The 20397-nt window shown below is 36.1% G+C and overlaps 1 protein-coding gene across 5 annotated transcripts in view; it reads left to right on the top strand.

The window, feature by feature from the left end:
* Nucleotides 1-20397, top strand: part of KIF3A (kinesin family member 3A) — a 48735-nt gene extending 28338 nt beyond the window's left edge. The window contains exons 10-19 of one of the 5 annotated variants that reach the window (XM_006714526.5): nucleotides 231-302; nucleotides 2750-2758; nucleotides 5590-5746; nucleotides 6144-6324; nucleotides 6541-6651; nucleotides 6997-7122; nucleotides 8509-8562; nucleotides 8925-8993; nucleotides 9914-10038; nucleotides 19477-20397. In XM_006714526.5, coding sequence (XP_006714589.1) covers nucleotides 231-302; nucleotides 2750-2758; nucleotides 5590-5746; nucleotides 6144-6324; nucleotides 6541-6651; nucleotides 6997-7122; nucleotides 8509-8562; nucleotides 8925-8993; nucleotides 9914-10038; nucleotides 19477-19519 — 947 coding nt within the window. In that variant the 3' untranslated portion in view covers nucleotides 19520-20397. Of the gene's footprint in view, nucleotides 1-230; nucleotides 303-2749; nucleotides 2759-5589; nucleotides 5747-6143; nucleotides 6325-6540; nucleotides 6652-6996; nucleotides 7123-8508; nucleotides 8563-8924; nucleotides 8994-9913; nucleotides 10039-12526; nucleotides 16579-19476 lie in introns of those variants that run through there. The other 4 variants (NM_001300791.2, NM_001300792.2, XM_017008996.3 and 1 more) reach the window with 4 other exon arrangements.

Here is a 20397-nt window from a genome sequence, read left to right as displayed (position 1 = left end):
GCTTAAAGCAGTACACTTTCTAATTCCTCTGTATGGCTTTGTAAAGTAGAGAATATTGGATAAACTACCAAGATTGGTTTTTAGGAAAGTAAATTTTGGTTCTTTAATACAAAGCTTGATTGTCCTTTAAAATTTTTTTCTCTGAAAACTGAATTTTTCTCTGTGTGTGTGTTCATTTTCTTGTTTCCTCTTTCTTTGGTTCCTGTTGGGCTCATTTCTTTGTTTTCCAGGCAGTAGCAGCAGCAGTAGTTCAGACTCCACATGTTCTGTCATAGAGAAACCTCTGGATAAGTTCTTGCCTAGTGAGTGGTAGCTCTTACATTCTCTAACAGAGCTTTGGCTTTTCCATAACCCATGGGCTTCATTTGAGCAATGCTGCACCACTCCCTGTCATTACCTAAAGAATACATGTTGGATTCCTCAGTAGAACAAAGCATGTGATGATTCCTCCACCCCCTTTCATTGCTTCCAGTTAATCATAATTGTTAAAACATAGGCTTTAGCTTATGTTTGAGACAATGGAAGAGAGATTCATGCTTTTGCAATTGAGATAATGTAAAGAGAGCTAGTAAGCTGTATAAAAGAATAATTCTTATGCTTATTTTTTAGGTTTCATGACACATTTCTAATCCTGCTCAGAATAAGGGACACGTAACATCAAATCTTGTATTTCTAAAAGTACAAATTATATTTGAAGTACACCAGTGCCCATTATAACATGTCGTACAATTACAAATTTTTTACACTTTGGTGTCCTATTCTTAGTGGTAGCTTAAGATTAAAGGCTCCCAAATAAAGAAAAACATAAAGCTTGAAGCAAGTAAAGATGAATTGAATAGTGTTTTATTTCAAATGGACATTTATCCATATTTCTGTATTACCTGATAGATTTTAAGAAAAGTTCTTTCTTTTTTTTTTTTTTTTTTTGAGACGGAGTCTTGCTCTTTTGCCTAGGCCGGAGTGCAGTGGCGCAGTCTTGGCTCACTGCAAGCTCCGCCTCCCGGGTTCACGCCATTCTCCTGCCTCAGCTTCCCGAGTAGCTAGGACTACAGGTGCCCGCCACCACTCCTGGCTAATTTTTGTATTTTTAGTAGAGACGGGGTTTCACCGTGTTAGCCAGGATGGTCCCGATCTCCTGACCTCATGATCTGCCCGCCTCGGCCTCCCAAAGTGCTGGGATTATAGGCGTGAGCCACTGCGCCCGGCTGATTTTAAGAGATTTTCTAAGGTATGATTAGAGAATGCAGAATCACGTGGATTTTATGCAGGATCCATCTAGACTTATTTCAAACTTAAAGGCTTTTGTTAAAACAATTTAATTAAGTTGAAAAGTGTTATTTAATTTAATTTATTTATATTTTATTTTCAGAAGAAAGGGGAGTAGTGTTGCTTTCTTGTACCAGCCTGCAGCTTACTGTCTTTTAAAGCATTATCTATATACTTACCCTTTCAAAACTAATGACAAAAATAATTGCTTATTGTTCTTATGCTTTTAGCTTTCTAGAAGAATAATTCCAAGAATATTAGAAATCTCCTTCTCTATTGACAATTTGTAGGCAAGTTACCAAAACAATTCATTTCAAAGGATAATTTGTAAAATACTTGGAATTGCATTAGAAACCACATAGAGGTATTACTTTGTATAATAAACTGTGAAATATGCGAAAATATTTGAGTGGGAGGCGTTGCAATTTAGTTTTCTGTTTTAAAACTTAATTCTTAAAGAGTAGTTATATGAAAGTATGTTATGAAATGAGTTGTACTTTGTTCAATTCAAGAAGTTTTAATTCCTATTTGCGTACCTAGCACATAATTTTTTTCTTGTAATGTGGGCGTGTTGGTGAAGTGGAGAGATGGTTGTCCTAGCATGTGGTTGCTGTGTGTACCTTCCCTTTTAAATATCTCAATGGCCTTTTTAAAAGGTGTTTCTTGCTTGAGTCCTTAATTGGCAGTGACTCCTGTAGAATCATTGTTTATAATTACCCTTAAAAATCTACTAATAGAAGGAATGTAAGTTTGTTACTGTACAGGTATACTTCATTTTATGTAATAATTTTATTTTCTGGAAAAAAAAAAAAGCCCTTAATCCGGTTGGGAAATCGGATGTATTGGGAGAACTTGTGTCTTTAAAAATTCTTCATTAGACCTTTCTGTTAATCAAATAATCAGTGGAAATTACTGTAATCTAATTTATCTGTTGGATTGGTTCAGGTTTTTGTGTTAGATTTTCTTAAAGTGAAGCATGCCTATAATAGATCCATATACTAAAAGAAATATTGAATTGGGACATTTTTGATATGGACAGTGTGAATTTTGTCACTTTAAATGTACTAGTTGTTAAAATTGCCTTAATTTTCTGTTTTGCCCTTTTAGATTACTTCCCAGATCTTAGCAGGTTCCTAATTCCATGTCTTCTGTTAGCATAACCACATGGTGTTGAACTGTGACCTTTGCAGGACTTGGGGAATCAGTGTGAGATCTTGAGATTGACTTGAGTTATAATCTAAGACTAAGTTAACTTTAATATTCTTGCTTAAATGACATCTCTCGTTGTGTTGAATATGCTTTCTTTTTACATGGGCTCTATTTCAGTTTTGATAACGGTTTGATTTTTATTTCTACACTTAAATGAATGCTATTATATATTTTTCTTTGTTTCACAAGAGAAATAATGTTTTCCTTTTTTTCCTCCTCATCTCTGTGCGTATTGCTTCCTGTCTGCGATTTGCTTACTACTTCTTATTGCAAGATCAAGCAGGTTGGTGTGATTGATTTGCACTCCACATGGTACAATTATTTATCCTATAAAGAACTATGTTATTTAAATACATTAAATTTTTAAAATTTAGTAGTTTTTTTACCAGGTAAGTATCTATCTTTTGTATTTTTAACAATCTTTCAACTTTAGCTTTTAAAAAGAACTTCATTTTTTTCCCTAAATTCTTAAAGACTCATTAAGCCAAAGTTTGGAAATACAAGTGTAAATTATTTCACATTCAAACATTTTTCTCCTTTTTTCTTAAAGCCAAGAATCAAATACCTGGTTATGCCGTGGTTGCTTATGTAATAAAAATGAAATTAATTCAATTAGGACTGCCCTGAAGTTCTTCCCCTTTGACTTACCCTGGCCGGTTAACGTTCACAATATTGGTTAGAGCACATGGCAAAGGGCAATAAAAAAATGTTGCTACTTATGTCTGGTTTAGTTAAATACTGTTTATGGCATTAACTTTTAAAAATATTTATTTACCTGAAATTTTGTGCTGAATTTTATCATGCATTGTTAGAAATAGATTTCTTTTTTGTTTGATTGGTTTAAGAAGGTTTTTTTAAAAAAAAGTCCTTTGAAAAATACATATAAAAGTGACTTTTACTGATGTCACATTTTTAAATACCTGGTTAGGAGAGTTAGCACATATTCACATTTAGCTTAAAATATTATTTGTGGAGAAATATAATGATTTGTCAGAGTGATTCTGGCTAAAGTAATATGTTACTTAAATATTAGGCTTTTGAAACTAACCCTGGCTATATATCTTTGATTGTCTTCATGAAAGTGTTACAAGACCACAATAAGATTTTTGCTGCTAAAGTATCAGTTTGGAAACATACCTGAATGGTTTTAAATTACTAATGTAATGCATTAATGCATGAACAGTTATGTGTCTTTGTATTTCCACATGTAAAATCTTTTTATTTAAAAAACTTTTTATTTTACTGCTTCTTAATGGGTTTTGAAACTGTTTTTAACTATTGAAACAATTAGAACCCTTGAAGCCTGTACATACTACTGTTCATATGTTGATTAGATCATTTCCTCTATACTGTTAGCATCAGTGTCTTCATGCATTTATTATTTTTGTCTTAACATATGTCCCATTTTGTCTTTAAATATTTATAATTCTCAGGTGGAAAGGAAGTTACACTTTTTTAAATGCGTATACTTACTATATACCTGAACTGATACTTTTCTCCTTCAAATTTCTAAGACATAGTATGACTGATGGGATAAGTAGTTTGGGAATAGTAGTTAAATTATTTTAAAGTTATTTTTTAACAGCTAATTCAAAAGATTCAATACAGATGACTGTGCCAAACAAGCCAGTAAATAGAATCAGTCTACATCCTGACTTTTGGAATGCAATGAATCACACCACACCAAAGCATGAATTTGGATCAGTGCTTTTATTTACTCTTTTATTTCATTTGTCTTGTGTCTTAGGTTTGCTCTGGACTTACAGTTCTATACAAATAATGTATTTTAAACCCTAGAGTTTTTTACATAATTTTGTCATAAAGAGTTAAAGCCTATTAATGATTCTTCATTTCATAGTTCCTGAAAAAATATACTCAGTTATATATCTCCATCATAATTATTTTTCAGTTCTTTTTCCTTGTTAGGTGGTGGGGGTTAGCTTTTGGGTGGAGACATTAACAATTTATACACTCTTATGATTTACACTCTTCTTCTGTAGTTCTTTGGGAAGGAAGTTAAGAATGACGGAAAGGTTCTAGGAGAGCCTCAGACCAATTCTGTGAAAAGTGTTATTGGTTTTCTGAAGGAATGTATGTTTCTAAGAAACTGTATGACCAGAAATGAATTGTCTTTGATTCAGTTTCATCACCAGTTTAATAAGCTAGTTTTATTTTCTCTTTTTCATTTGGATTTTGTTATTTTGAAATTCATTAATAAACTTTCTTTGAGCACCTATTACATGTATGTAAAATACTTTATTAGACATTATTAGCAAAAATAATCAATTGGAAGCCATATTCCAGCTTTATTATTTGGTAGTATTTCTACTTATATTTGACACTTGGCATGTTTACTCTGACTTAGGGAGCCTTCGGGTCCTGAGTTTGACATAATAACAAGCTATTTTAGTTGTTCCTTTAGTGTATGATGATATATCTTGACAGCTCAGCAACTGTGAAATGCTTGGTTAATTACTGTGTATGTAACTGTTACATAATTACATAGTATAGAATTTTTTCCTTTAAAAGTATGCTGTGAAATAAAATACTTTAATGTTATTAAACAAAAATTTTAGAAAAACTCTGAAAAATATATTAAAACTACTTGATGTAAATTCTGCCTGATATTTTCATCTGTGCATTTTATACCTATATATGACTTTTATTCACTTGTTTTATGTGAACTTGGGGAAGATATTTTAAGGAGTCGCTTGATTTTATACTTGGTTATCAGGAAAAAGTAACTGAAGAATCATGTTGCTTTTTTTTTAACCTATATTTGTTATCTGGGGACATATATATTTTTTAATTTGGCTTTCCTGTTAATCTTTCTTTTCCTATTATTTAGCTCATCTATTTTGCTTCTCTTTCGCTTTTGTTCTTAGTTATCATTGTACAATTGGACAACAGTTTGAATTTAGCAATGAGTTATAAAGTTCTAGGAGCATAATAAATGGAAATGCATGATATTATTGGTTTGATTTCCTTAAAATATTGATAATTGGTTTTGTATTATTGAGGAGTGTAGGCATTTCTATATTGAAGGAGGTAATTTATATAAGTCTGAAACATTGATTCATTTTAGTGATTGTTGCAATTAAATGATTCAAATAGGAAAAAAGAAAGTCTCCCCAGACAAGATGATTGAAATGCAAGCAAAAATTGATGAGGAGAGAAAAGCACTTGAAACAAAGCTCGACATGGAAGAAGAAGAAAGAAACAAGGCTAGAGCTGAATTAGAGAAACGGGAAAAAGATCTTCTTAAAGCCCAGTGAGTATTATTGAATTGAGATGAATTCATGATTTAAATTTCTGTTTTTTCCTAGGATATATAAAATAGGAAAATTGAATAGTAATTAAAAGCTTGGATTTTTGTCTCCAGTGTAGCTATTTTGGATAGAAGGGTCCATTGTATATAGTGTATTTCTAAAAACTAGATCTATTTTGGTTATTTTATTTCCGTGTGATAGGAAAACATATCAATGAATTAGAATGAGTTATAAATTAAGTTAGAAATCGATACTACACAGTGGTGTAATTTGGCAGAGATGTTACATAATTATATTTCTATTTTGAAATTGTATATCCAAATTTTAAATTTTGGGAAATGATATTAGTAGAATAATAGATCATCAGTGAATATAGAGTATTCTCATTCTAATCAACAGACAAGAGCATCAGTCTTTGCTGGAAAAATTATCTGCCCTGGAAAAGAAGGTAATTGTTGGTGGGGTTGACTTGTTGGCCAAAGCTGAGGAACAAGAGAAACTTCTTGAAGAATCTAACATGGAACTGGAAGAAAGGAGGAAAAGAGCAGAGCAACTTCGCAGAGAACTTGAGGAAAAAGAGGTAATGTGACTTTCTGTTTTTAGTTTGGTATTTTGCCAGAGAGATTTAACTTTTCTAGTGGAAAGCTAAATATCTATAATCGTATTGAAATTTTAAAGCATATTTATGGATTGCTTTGAAGATCAGATTTGCTAAACATTTATGTCATTTGTTAAAGAATTAGATATTTGATTTTACAAAGAAATTTATTCTGAAGTTTACTAATTTTTGTCATAGCAAGAACGCTTGGATATTGAAGAAAAATATACCAGTTTGCAAGAGGAAGCACAGGGAAAGACCAAGAAGTTAAAGAAAGTTTGGACTATGCTGATGGCTGCAAAGTCAGAGGTTGGTTCTCTTAGAAATTACCTACTAATGCAGTTCTGGATTTTTTAAAAGGGAGTTCTTTGATTAAGAATTTATAAATAATCATAATGTGAGCTTATAATTTAAAAGAAATAAAATATTTCTTTATGTGCAATTTTTAATTTTATCTATTAGTCTAAATTGTTTCTTTTCAACCTTAACAAATAGTGTAGAATAGATGCTGATAGTGTCACGCTGTTTATCATTTTTATAAAAGAACTAGGTAAGCTCTCACAAGGTTTCTTAGACAAGCATCCTATGTGAGATGGTGCTGTTTTGTAGTTAAAGTCTTGTTTGTTCATAATATTTTTATGGATTTTCTGGTAGATGGCTGATCTCCAACAAGAACATCAGAGGGAAATTGAAGGCCTACTGGAGAACATTCGGCAACTTAGCCGGGAGCTTCGACTTCAGATGCTTATTATTGATAACTTTATACCTCGGGATTATCAGGTAAAAAGGAAGTTCTCTGACCGAGATAGTCGCTTGACTGGGATTAAGGAACAAAGATTTCTAATTTAACTGATGATAAATACTTAATACTTCAGTTATTGAATGTACAATTTTTTGAACAAATGCCATCACATTTCACTTTAGTTGTTAACTTTTAATACATAATCTCTGTTTGAGTATCTAGCCTTTTAGACGAACTCAGATTCATGTATATGTGATCAGAATCAAGGTGTAGGTCCCATTCCTTCATTCAGCGCCCATTATCATACAAGTAGAATAAATGGAACCTCTGTGCTGCCTTTTTCTCCCTGCTGTGGGTGCTGATTCTTTGTGTGTGTGTGTGTATATGGTAAAATATAGATAACATGAAATTTACCATCTTAGCTATTTTAAGTGTGCAGTTCAATGGCATTTAGGACATTCACATTGTTGTGCAACCTGTACCATCATTCATCTCCAGATGGATGCTAATTCTTAGTACTAGTATAATTTTAAAATCTCAGCCTCTATTTTTTTTAATCCAAAATTTGTCTTTCCAGTGCATTTTGGTAAACTTTAACATGATTTTTTTTTTTTTTTTTTTTGTCAGGGAGACAGAGTCACTTTGTTGCCCAGGCTGGAGTGCAGTGGTGCAATCTCGGCTCCCTGCAACCTTCACTTCCCGGGTTCAAGTGATTCTCATGCCTCTGCCTCCCGAGTAGCTGGGATTACAGGCGTGTACCACCACACCCAGCTAATTTTTGTATATTTAGTAGAGATGGGGTTTAGCCATGTTGGCCAGGCTGGTCTTGAGTTCCTGAGCTCAGGTTGATCTGCCCGTTTTGGCCTCCCAAAATGATGGGATTACAGGTGTTAACCACCATGCCTGGCCAATTTTTTAAAAATCTGTTTTGAATCTCAATACAGTTTTAAGAAATTTGTCTGAAAATAAGTCTTAGTCATTTTTTTTTTTTTTGGACCTCAGGTACATGGAATTAGTCCTGGGTTCATGGTACATTCTCCTTATTGGTCCTTGGATGGCCTGCTTTTATTTAGTTATTTTGTAATGAACTCATCACCCAAAACAATATCTAGGACCCTGATAATAACTACTTCTAACCAGTTTCCCCTTCCCTTATTTCATTCCTTTGCCTCTTCCAACCCAAGGTAATCATTATCTTGATTCCCAAGTTTCTCATTCTGTTGTTTTTTCATTTTCATTTAGTTTTATTTCATCTGCATGCATTCCTAAGAAATATGTATTTTAGAATTTATAAAAAGGTTATATCAGTATATAATGTTTTGAGACTTTTATTACTCAATGTTATTAAGATTTTAGTTTTATGACTTCAATATTTTAGATGTTATTAAATATTAAAAATAGGCTATCTTTCACCCTTTTAAAAGGAAATGATTGAAAACTATGTCCATTGGAATGAAGACATAGGAGAATGGCAGCTAGTGAGTATTACCTTCATTCTTTCACGTAATAATTAAAGAGTACTTCCTATGGTCTAGAAATTGTGCTGGCTACAGTGGGGAGGAACATGGTCCAGTAGATGAATCAGATGAGAATCCAGTAGGGCAGATAAAATATTTTTCTAATTCCATGTAATTAATTGTAACATACAGATCATGGTCTGGGTGGAAATGGTCAGAGTTAGGGGCTATGTGGGACTAAGTGACCTCTGGGGCCCTTTCTGCTCTAGCATTCAAATCATGTTTTACTAGTGTAATGTTAGGATTTCTCAGTTATTTGCCTAACTCACAGTATTGATTACTAATTAAGACATTTCTCTGTCTCTCCCTTTTCTTTTTTTGAGAAATGTGTTGCTTATACAGGAAATAACATGAGGAAGCAAACCCCAGTACCTGATAAAAAGGAGAAAGATGTAAGAGTACTTAAAAAAAAACAAAACAAAACACAAAACTACTGTTGTTTCTTTATAGGAATATGAGTCATTAAATTGTATTATCAACTTGATATCTGTTAATCAGCTCTGCTGAAAAATGGGCTGATACTTTTGGGAATAAAGGCTCTAGGATGGGGTGATGAGGAGGACAGTTCTGCTTACCATCAGTCTTGATGTCAGGCTTATTCCCACCACAAGAGGGGCATGGACTCACTCTTTGGAGTCCTCTTTTCACTACCACTCTGGGTCGTAGGATTATGGGTGGAGACTAGAATGTGTCTTTCTTTCTCTTCAAAGCTAGTTCTAGTCCTAGGTCAAGAAGAAGAGGGAGCGGGCCGGGCGTGGTGGCTCACGCCTGTAATCCCAGCACTTTGGGAGGCCGAGGCGGGTGGATCACGAGGTCAGGAGATCAAGACCATCCTGGCTAACACAGTGAAACCCCGTCTCTACTAAAAAAATACAAAAAAAATTAGCCGGGCGTGGTGGCGGGTGCCTGTAGTCCCAGCTACTCAGGAGGCTGAGGCAGGAGAATGGCGTGAACCCAGGAGGTGGAGCTTGCAGTGAGCCCAGATCGCGCTACTGCACTCCAGCCTGGGCGACAGAGTGAGACTCCGTCTCAAAAAAAAAAAAAAAAGAAGAAGAAGAGGGGGCAGCTTTAAGAAAAACAGCAACAGTTTTTATGTCCAAGGAAATTTATAGTGTGTCAGGGCTTCTTACTCACCAACCTTTATTAAGTACATTTTAGATACTGGGATTAGAAGATGATGTCATTAGACATTTCTTTGGTTTTAGCTTCTGTGGGTTTGATCAAGGAGTTTATTCAGTATTTTAAATCTTCCCCCAAATCTGGCTTTAACTCTTTGCCTTAAGAGTGCTTTGTGTTTGTTTCTTTTACTTAGCCCTTTGAGGTGGACCTTTCTCACGTGTATCTTGCCTATACTGAGGAGAGTCTGCGTCAGTCTTTGATGAAACTAGAAAGACCACGAACTTCAAAGGGGAAAGCAAGGCCAAAGACAGGGAGAAGGTAAGGACTGTCCTTGAATCTGGTAAAACGAAGGCATTGAGGTATTCTAATTAGATACATGTACAGGAAGTTAAAATTTATTTAGTTAAAACATGATACATATTTTGGCTGATTTATTAAAAATCAAATTCCTGGCTGGGCACAGTGGCTCACGCCTGTAATCCCAGCATTTTGGGAGGCCGAGGCAGGTGGATCATTTGAGGTCAGGAGTTTGAGACCAGCCTGGCTAACATAGTGAAACGCTGTCTCTACTAAAAATACAAAAGTTAACCAGGCATGGTGGCGCATGCCTGTAATCCCAGCTACTGGGGAGGCTGAGGCATGAGAATCGCTTGAACCCAGGAGCCGGAGGTTGCAGTTAGCCGAGATCATGAGATCATGCCACTGAACTTCAGCCTGGGTGACAGAGCAAGACTTGGTCTCAAAAAAAAAAAAAAAAAATCAAATTCCTTATGTATTAGAATTTGAGTAAATAAAATCTGGCCAAAGAATTAAGGTCTTCCAACTTCTTAGGCTTCTGAGTAATAGAATTTATTTTTAATTCACTCTGTTATTTCCAAATGTATAATGGGTTTAATTCCTTAATTCTTAGACTAATTCTTCTTATGAAATGCTAATTAATTTGCCTGTTTGGTCTCCCAAGGTATTGTATTCAGCTGGTTAGTTTTTCTGTCAGGTGCCCCAAGAACCTTGATTTCCTCAGTCACCAGCTAAGGAGAACTTCCTTGGACATTTCCCCCTCTCCTTTGGGCACTGGTTTTGACTGTTGGGTAGTCTGCGTGTATCATCACATAAGCTCAGGGAAATCGGGATATGGGAGTCCTGGGCTGGAGCTTATTTTTTTTTCCTTTCCCTTTCCTACATCAAGGACTGTTCAGTTTATTTAAGCTGATTTTAAGACTCTGGGGCTCCTAAAATGTAGGAAATAATAAGCTGCTTTTTTCCCTACTTTGAGTGCATGGACTTTCAAGTTACATGTGGGATGAAGTTGTACGGTTTTGATATCTTTGTGTTACATAATCTCATAGACATGACTTAACACTTATAAATTTGGGATGGTTGAACTCAGGGTTGGGCAAACAGTTGAATATTAAAAATGTACAAATTTTTACATTCTTTAGCATTTAGGTGAGGGGTTAAAAACTTTCCTATACCAACACATGCCAAGCATATTGTAGTGAAGCAAATCAGTTCTAAGAAACATGAGTCCCTTTAGATGTATCTTTTTTTCCATTTTTAATAAAATGACAGTGCAAGTGTGATGATAAATGGTAAGACATTTGTCCCCAGCGTAGGAGAAAAATTGGCAGTGGTGAGCAGTCCTGTCTAAAGTGAGTGGCTGCTATTCTCTTCCTAGTTATCTATGGAAATAGAGGGCTCATTGTTTCTGGATCTTCTGTTTTCTTTTCTTTTCTTTTTTTTGAGATGGAGTCTCACTCTGTTGCCCAGGCTGGAGTGCCCTGAGTAGCTGGGATTACTGGCACCTGCCACCATGCCCAGTTAATTTTAGTATTTTTACTAGAGATGGGGTTTTGCCCTGTTGGCCAGGCTGGTCTCGAACCCCTGACTTCAGGTGATCTGCCCACCTCAGCCTCCCAGAGTGTTATGATTACAGGCATGAGCCACCGTGCCTGGCCTGGATCTTCTCTTTTCTAAGGAAAAGCCAGAAATTCGAATTATTTACTTGAGATCTGTCAATTTTACTTTTTTTTTTTTTAACTATATGGACCCTAAAGCAAATGAATAAATAATATGATATTTGAATACGTTTTCCAGAACATCCATTTTAAGATACGTCATTTTTTTAGTTTAACATTAAAAAAATCGTGTGGCCCAACATTATATGAGCCAAACTCACCATCTCTGTATACTGGAATTGGCCTGCTATAACCATGGAAACCCTAAGAAAATGGTAGCCATAAACATGGACAAATACATGCATTAAATGGTTTATTGATGCTATGTTACATTATATGATATGTTCAATGTGATGTTCCTTGTTAGAAACACATAGTTAGATGGGCTAGGCAAAATTGCAATAAATATAATACATTAATGTAGCATTTCCATAAGTCCCTACATATGCATCAGGTATTGCCTGAGATGATTTGTTTCTGATTTCCTCTGAATCCACTTGCACCTTTTGAGTACCTCAGAAGAGATAATCAGGAAGTTCAAATCTGGCAAGCATGCAGCTCACTTGGCCTGGCCACATGACCTAGTCTAGTCTTGGAAATTATCACCTGTCCTATCCTTCACTATCTGGCATAATGGGGTGGGCTGCCATCCTCTTGCATTTACTTTAAGTTAGCTTCCCGTAGCCTGAAAAGGCGAGCATTAATTGAACACTTACCATGGTCAAACGTGTCAAATTTTGGCTTGTTTCCAGACTATACAGGCCACCCCATAGTTTCTATATAATGTTAAATGTTTGCATTTCAGTCTTTTAGGAAAGCATTCATGATTGCTTTTTTTCTTCTCCAAACAGAAAGCGTTCTGCAAAGCCTGAAACTGTAATTGACTCTTTACTGCAGTAAATGTTACAGACTTAAAGTCACAATAAAAATTAGTGATATTCTCATGCCTGGACAAAATCTTTAATTAAAACAGTGAAGACTTCTCTATAATTTCAATTAATGGAAGTTGTAGATCAATGAATAAGACTGGAAATAATAATTTGCTTAAGAACTTTTAGTCTACATATATTAATATAACATTAAAATTGTACAACTGGTGATTGTTCAAATTGTTGTACTACTACTCTTCAATTGTACTGTGCAGGGAAGTTGGGGGAACAGTTCATACTATAGAGAGTTACAGTTTAGATGTATGTGTAAATCGATTAGCTATTTATCCAACTACTGTATATTTAGGTAACTAGAATTTCAAAATAGAAAAAAAAAAACTGTGTCCTGTTTTGCACATAGAAAGAAGCAGATCAGATTGTCCTATGTTGCGCTGTTATATATGAATGTTTGGACTGTACATCTAAAGAATGATTCCGTCCTAACACCCACCCAGCCTGTTTGAACACATTCTAATTGTCTAACATTTGTTGCATTTTAAGTATGAGATGACTGATCTTATGAATGTTTTGTAGAAAATGTTATAATTTAACAGTCTTTGCGAGTATACATGTTTTTTAACAAGTTGAAAATGTTTCATCTGAACCTTTCCTAACTTTTTTTTGCCAGTTTGAGTTCAAATCAAATACACCTTAAGTTCTGGTTTCATGTTCTCTTGAAACATTGAATTGTACGTAAATATAAAGGATCTACTGTTGCGGAAAATTAAGAAGCTAAATACTGCTCAGTTATCTTTGCCTGCGTGTATATTTTTAAAAATTCACTCTGAAGTGTTATGGATGCTTTTCTTTGAGTTCTAAATTTTGGTGGGAATTACTTTATGTCTCCCAGTTAAGAAGAGTCTCCATTTTCCAGAAAATACAGCTAAGCAAGAAAAATATCTTTTAAATACTTTGCCTTTAAAACACTTTTTTATTTTGTTTTTCTATTTTAAAAATAAAATATTATTTTCTGAATTTCTTCTATTGGGTAATCCAGTTAGACCATATTCCTCTACAAATAAAAACTATGTTGATTTCATAGTAAAGTAAGTTGTAATAGAGATAATTATTTTTTTCTGTTGTTAGCTGCTTATGAAACTTTTATTGTATTTTTTTAAAGTTATGCTACTCCTGGCCGGGCATGGTGGCTCACGCCTGTAATCCCAGCACTTTGGGAGGCCGAGGCACGTGGATCACTTGATGTCAGGAGTTCGAGACCAGCCTGGCTAACATGGTGAAACCCTGTCTCCAGTACAAATACAATAATTAGCTGGGTGTGGTGGCGCACACCTGTAATCCCAGCTACTTGGGAGGCTGAGGCAGGAGAATCACTTGAACCTGGGAGGCGGAGGTTGCAGTGAGCTGAGATGGCATCACTGCACTCCAGCCTGGGTGACAGGGTGACACTCCACCTCAAAAAATAAAAATAAAATAAAAATAAAGTTATGCTACTCCTAAACCACTTAATATATGTTTTGTGGTTTTCAAAATTATGTAATCAGCCCTGAAACACATTGGTTGAAAATATTTTGAGACTTTATAAGTTAGTATTTATTAAATTAATATTATTTTAATAAGTTTTGTTAAATCCTAGTTTAAATGACAAAGCTGTGTATAGAGTAGGGGTGAGTGAAGGTGGAGTACTCTTGAGGTGGCGATAAAAATGTACCCATAAATTTAAAGTCCATTCTGTAATTGGAATACTGAATGTCCTGTGTGTGGTGAACATTTTCTAGGTGATTAGAATTGCATTTCACTGGCTGCATTTGTTTGTGGTATGTAAGATAGCTAGAAATTTATTACTTAACTCTGTGGGGCATTGTTTAGATACTGTGAAGAGTTGAGGTAAATATGTGTCTTGTAAAAGCTTTGTGTGATCAGAATATTTTGGTAATTATAAAATGTTTTTGATGATACACATTTAACTCTGTTAGTAATTACTCTAAAGAAATCTTAATTTTACCAGTTTAAAAAAAACGCTTCTTTTTAAAAGTTCATGTTTCTAACCTTTAACAATTCAGTTAATAGGAAAGGAGTAACTTTTAAATCAAGCTTTAAAACATGGAAATTTAAGCCAGTATGTTAGATATTTTTTCTATCCCACCCTACCATGATAATAAAAATAAATCTATAAAAAGTCAAAATAAAAAGCCGATCTATAAAAAGTCAATTGAGAAGTTCTAAAAGCAGGCTACTATAGCAGGGGTGTTTGTTTTTTGTTTGGAGACGGAGTCTGGCTCTATTACCTAGGCTGGAGTGCAGTGGGACAATCTCGGCTCACTGTAACCTCTGTCTCTTCAGCCTCCTGAGTTGCTGGAACTACAGCTGTATGCCATCATGCTCGGCTAATTTTTGTATTTTTTTGTAGAGATGGGGTTTTGCCATGTTGCCCGGGCCTGTCTTGAACTCCTAGAGCTTAAGTGATCCACCCGCCTCAGGCTCCCGAAGTGCTGGGATTACAGGCATGATTATAGGCCTGAGCCACCACACCCCGCCTACTATAGCAGTTTTTTAAAAAAAGCATTATGTTAAAACTGATTATACCAGATGGACATTAAATATCCATCTCAGAAATACCAAAATTTGATACATAAGCCTGGCCTGAATATCTTTTTTTTTTTTTTGAGACGGAGTCTTACTCTGTCGCCCAGGCTGGAGTGCAGTGGCGCGATCTCGGCTCACTGCAACCTCTGCCTCCTGGGTTCAAGGGATTCTCCTGCCTCAGCCTCTTGAGTAGCTGGGATTACAGGTTTGCGCCACCACACCCAGCTAATTTTTGTATTTTTTTTTTAGTAGAGACCGGGTTTCACCATGTTGGCCAGGCTGGTCTCACCTGACTTTGTGATCCGCCCGCCTCAGCCTCCCAAAGTGCTGGGATTACAGGTGTGAGCCACCACGCCTGGCCTCAAGCCTGGTCTGAATATCTATATGCAAATATGGGACACTGACTTCAGAGCTATTCATTTAGCTCCAGTCATAGCAATTCTGTAGTTTCCTCACATTTACTGTGTCTTTGTCCACAAATGAAATATGTTGTAAGGTCAGTGTTAATTTCGTGAGACGATATAGATGAACACACTTGCTCATTTTTTGAAATAAATATGCAGATTTAAAATGAGTGGCACATATATATAAATAGGTTATTGAATGGGTATTCTCTTTTCCCTTTAATTTAAAAAGTGATATTTATTTATTAAAAGGAGCATTGGTAGAATTATTGGTTTATAGTATCTTCTTTAATAATCCTTACAATTACATATACTAATAGGATGTTAAAATTATCATCGTGTTTCCTATTTGTGTTTAGATTCTTATAAAGCATGAGATGAGTAATCAAGGGAAGGGTCGCATCTCCATGTTTGCCCCATGAATAGAATCCATTTGACAAGCCATTTCATTTCCTTTCTGGAGAAAGGGAGTTGTTTTTTTTTTCTTTTTACAGCAAAAATTTAAGGTTTTATTGGGGGAGGGGGTGGTGCTACTTCCTCTGTAACATGTTTTTAAAACTATGATTATGGTTTTTGGTTGTTTTTTGTTTTGTTTGTTTCCTTTTAGTCTGTTTTTAATATCCTTCCCCTTAACTCTTAAGGAAAGTCTTCTTTCCTACAGGGCTGTGAATTAAGGAATGGGTAGCGTTTACATTTAAGTACACCAATGTCTGCCCAATTTCCTAATGTATACATTTGTTTTATTTTAAATTATTTTTTGTTCTTAAAAATACTAGAAGAAAACATAGATGTTTCTAGTGCCTTTGAACTTATACTGTAGTCTGACTAATTTAATGAATAACTTCAGTAGCATTACTATAATACTGTATGCTGGCCAAAATTACAAATTACAGTTTGTTGCATCAGTTTCAAAAGCCATGCTTTCATTGTATTTTATGTATAAATTGTATTTGTTCAAGTTGTATATATTGGTATTGTATGTATACATGCAGCATGGTTAAATAAGAATAAAAATCTTTTACCTAATGCCTGTAGTAGTGGTCTGCTGCTTTTCTCAACTATCTTTGTGGTTACTTCCACCCTGATATTAATGAGCAGGTTCTTTGTGCTTGGCATCTCAATTTGTGGTTAAGAGAGGCCTGTGTAGTTTCACACCCAGAAACGCTTAATGTTGTGGGTCTTTTAAGCAGAAATCATGAAGCAAATCTGGGAGAGATGTTATTTACATCTTTAAACTTTTAGGTTTGGCGGTACATGTGAAGGTTTGTTACATAGGTAAACACATCTCATGGGGTTTTGTTGTACAGATTATTTCATCACCCAGGTATTAAGCCCAATACCCAATAGTTATCTTTTCTGCTCTTCTCCCTTCTCTCATCCTCTCCCCTCAAGTAGACTCCAGTGTCTGTTGTTTCCTTCTTCGTGTTCATAAGATCTTATCATTTGGCTCCCACTTATAAGTGACAACATGCGGTATTTGGTTTTCTGTTCCTATGTTAGTTTGCTAAGGATAATAGCCTCTAGCTCTATCCATGTTCCCACAAAAGACATGATCTCATTCATTTTTATGGCTGCATAATATTCCATGGTGTATATGTACCACATTTTCTTCATCCAATCTGTCATTGATGGACATTTAGTTTGATTCTTTGGAGAAACTTTTTTTTTAATTAAATTTTATTTTATTTTATTTTAAATTTTATTTTATTTTATTTTATTTTATTTATTATTTTATTTTATTTATCTTATTTTTTGAGACAGAGTTTTGCTCTTGTTGCCCGGGCTGGAGTGCAGTGGCACAGTCTTAGCTCACTGCAACCTCCACCTCCTGGATTCAAGCAATTCTCCTGCCTCAGCCTCCTGAGTAGCTGGGATTACAGGCATGCACCACCATGCCTGGCTAATTTTGTATTTTTAGTAGAGATGGAATTTCACCATGTTGTTCAGGCTGGTCTCGAACTCCTGACCTCAGGTGATCCACCCGCCTCAGCCTCCCAAAGTGCTGGGATTACAGGCCTGAGCTACTGTGCCCAGCTGGAGAAATGTTTTTAAATGTGCTTCTTCTCATTGATAAACTGTATTTTTCACCAAAAATACTTTTTTTTTTTTGAGATGGAGTTTGGCTCTTGTTGGCCAGGATGGAGTGCAATGGCACGATCTCAGCTCACTGCAATCTCCGCCCCCCAAGTTCAAGTGATTCTCCTGCCTCAGCCTTCAGAGTAGCTGGGACTACAGGCATGCACCATCATGCTTGGCTAACTTTGTATTTTTAGTAGAGACGGTGTTTCTCCATGTTGGTCAGGCTCGTCTCGAACTCCCAACCTCAGGTGATCCACCCACCTCGGCCTCCCAGAGTGCTGGAATTACAGGTGTGAGCCACTGTGCCTAGCCCCAAAAATACTTCTATCTGAATTTTGTTATCCTTTTCATTATGTGTTTGAGAACAGAAACCAATTCTCAGGTCATAACTTAAGGAAGTGTGTATGTAGAATGTATTCTATGAAAGGTACCATTACTTAGTGGTAACAGTGCCATGATCTCATTCAGAAGCTTGAAGTATCTCCAAGACAATAACATTACTTGGGTTATTGTTAATCATGTTCTTTTGACAAACATTGATTACCAGGCACTGTGACTGGCAGGCTTAAGAACTTCAAAGTAGAAAATGAGAAATTTTGATTTGTCAACAAGTTTCAAAGGACTTTAAATTTTTATTTTTGTTTTTATTTTTTTTTAGAGTCTTGATCTGTTGCCCAGGCTGGAGTGCAGTGGCACGATTTCAGCTCACTGCAAGCTCCGCCTCCTGGGTTCACGCCATTCTCCTGCCTCAGCCTCCCGAGTAGCTGGGACTATAGGCATGTGCCACCACGCCCGGCTAATTTTTTGTATTTTTAGTAGAGACGGGGTTTCACCGTGTTAGCCAAGATGGTCTTGATCTCCTGACCTTGTGATCCGCCTGCCTCGGCCTCCCAGAGTGCTAGGATTACAGGCATGAGCCACCGCGCCCGGCCTGAAATTTTTATTTTTTAATTGACACATAATTATATTATGAGATATATCGTGATGTTTTGATAAAATACATGATGATCAGATCAGGGTAATTAGCATATACATCTTCTCAGACATTATGTCCTTGTGAACACTCAGTATTTTCTTTTCTAGCTATTTGAAAATGTTGTTGTTTACTATAGTCATTCTACAGTGCTATAAAAACACTAGACCTTCTATCTAGCTGTAATTTTGTGTCTCAAATGACTTTGTTTTTAAAGACAGGGTTTTGCTCTATTGCCCAGGCGTGAGTGCAGTGGTGCGTTCATAGCTCACTGCCCCCTTGAACTCCTGGGTTCAAGCAATCCTTCTGCCTCAGCCTCCTGAGTAACTAGGACTACAGGTGCATGCCCTCACACCTGGATAATTTTTTATTTTTACTTTTTATTTTTTGAGACAGAGTCTCACTCTGTTGCCCAGGCTGGAGTGCAGTGGCGCAATCTCAGCTCACTGCAACCTCTGCCTCCCGAGTTCAAGCGATTCTCCGGCCTCAGCCTGCCAAGTAGCTGGTACTACAGACGCAACACCATGCTCGGCTAATTTTTGTATTTTTAGTAGAGATAGGGTTTCACCATATTGGCCAGGCTGGTTTCAAACTTCTGACCTCGTGATCTGCCTGCCTCAGCTTCCCAAAGCGCTGGGATTACAGGCGTGAGCCACTGCACCTGGCGTCAAGTGGCTTTTTTAAAATGTGTTTTTTGTAGGGGTGGAAACTCCTCTGGTCATTCCAGGGGTCTTCCTCTCCCCCACTTCCAGCTTATGTAAAACTCTTACCTGTGTGTAGAACATGAAGACAAAATTAAAGGCCTGCCCTGGCATGTACAAGATAATAAATCGTGCTGCCTTTTCCCCCTTTGCCCCTCTTCTGCAATTGAGTTCTGGAGCTATGGTGTCCAGTTTCATCAAGCGATACCACTGAGCCACTCCCTTACAAACGCGTCTGTTACTGCCTGTGTTGTCGGGATGCTGCTGAAGACATTGTCCATCCTATCATCTTGTGAAGATTCTCGAGAAATTTCTTTTAAAGCTAAGTACCAGATTATTATATCAGACTATTTTCTCCCCGCATATATAAAAAGAGTGAAGTAAAATAATGCGTTTTCCACTGTGCTTTTGCTGATAGGACTATAATATCTGATGACCTGCTTATAGTCTTATTTTTCTCTGGATCATCATTTCCTCCTACTCCCTTTCTGCTTTGGTCCTAATAATGTTATTTTCTGTCTTAATCTTTTCCAATAAATCACTTTGAATCCATTTTTAAAACAAGGTAGAGTAAAAATCACTGAAGACCACCGTTAGCCTGTGCCTTTACAGAAGGAGTTAACACAGTTCTGAAGCCACAGCCTGAACTTAAAGCGAGCTGGAGGAGCCTTCCAAACACATTTATTAATTATTATCTCAATTTCTCTGTCTTAAGCTGTTTCATTTGCAAAGCAAATCAGGTATTCAGTCCTTTTTCGGAAGTTGAACAAATGTGTGGGAAAATGATTACGAAGAGGCTACTTCAAAAAGAACCTGTTTCCTCTCAGCATTTATCTTGGGCTTCCTGTGACCCAATCTTCAAGTGACTTTTATCAACGTTATCAGAAGATCAGATTGTCTCACCCAAACACGTTTATGGCTCTGACTAAAGAATATGACAGATCAGATATTCCTCTCCACCTGCTCCCCTCCCCCATCCCTTTTTAGAGGGCTGGGGAAATTTTAGTTTTTAATCAAAGGCTTTATTTCTCCAGTTGTGCAAAGGAATTTAACTGGGACTTTACAACTGAATAAAGTATTTCTCAGAGTCGA

The sequence above is a fragment of the Homo sapiens genome, chromosome 5 (genome assembly GCF_000001405.40).
Source record: "Homo sapiens chromosome 5, GRCh38.p14 Primary Assembly".
NCBI classification, from domain to species: Eukaryota; Metazoa; Chordata; class Mammalia; order Primates; family Hominidae; genus Homo; species Homo sapiens.
Note: the sequence above shows the minus strand (reverse complement) of the source record. Positions and strands in the feature narration are given on the sequence as shown.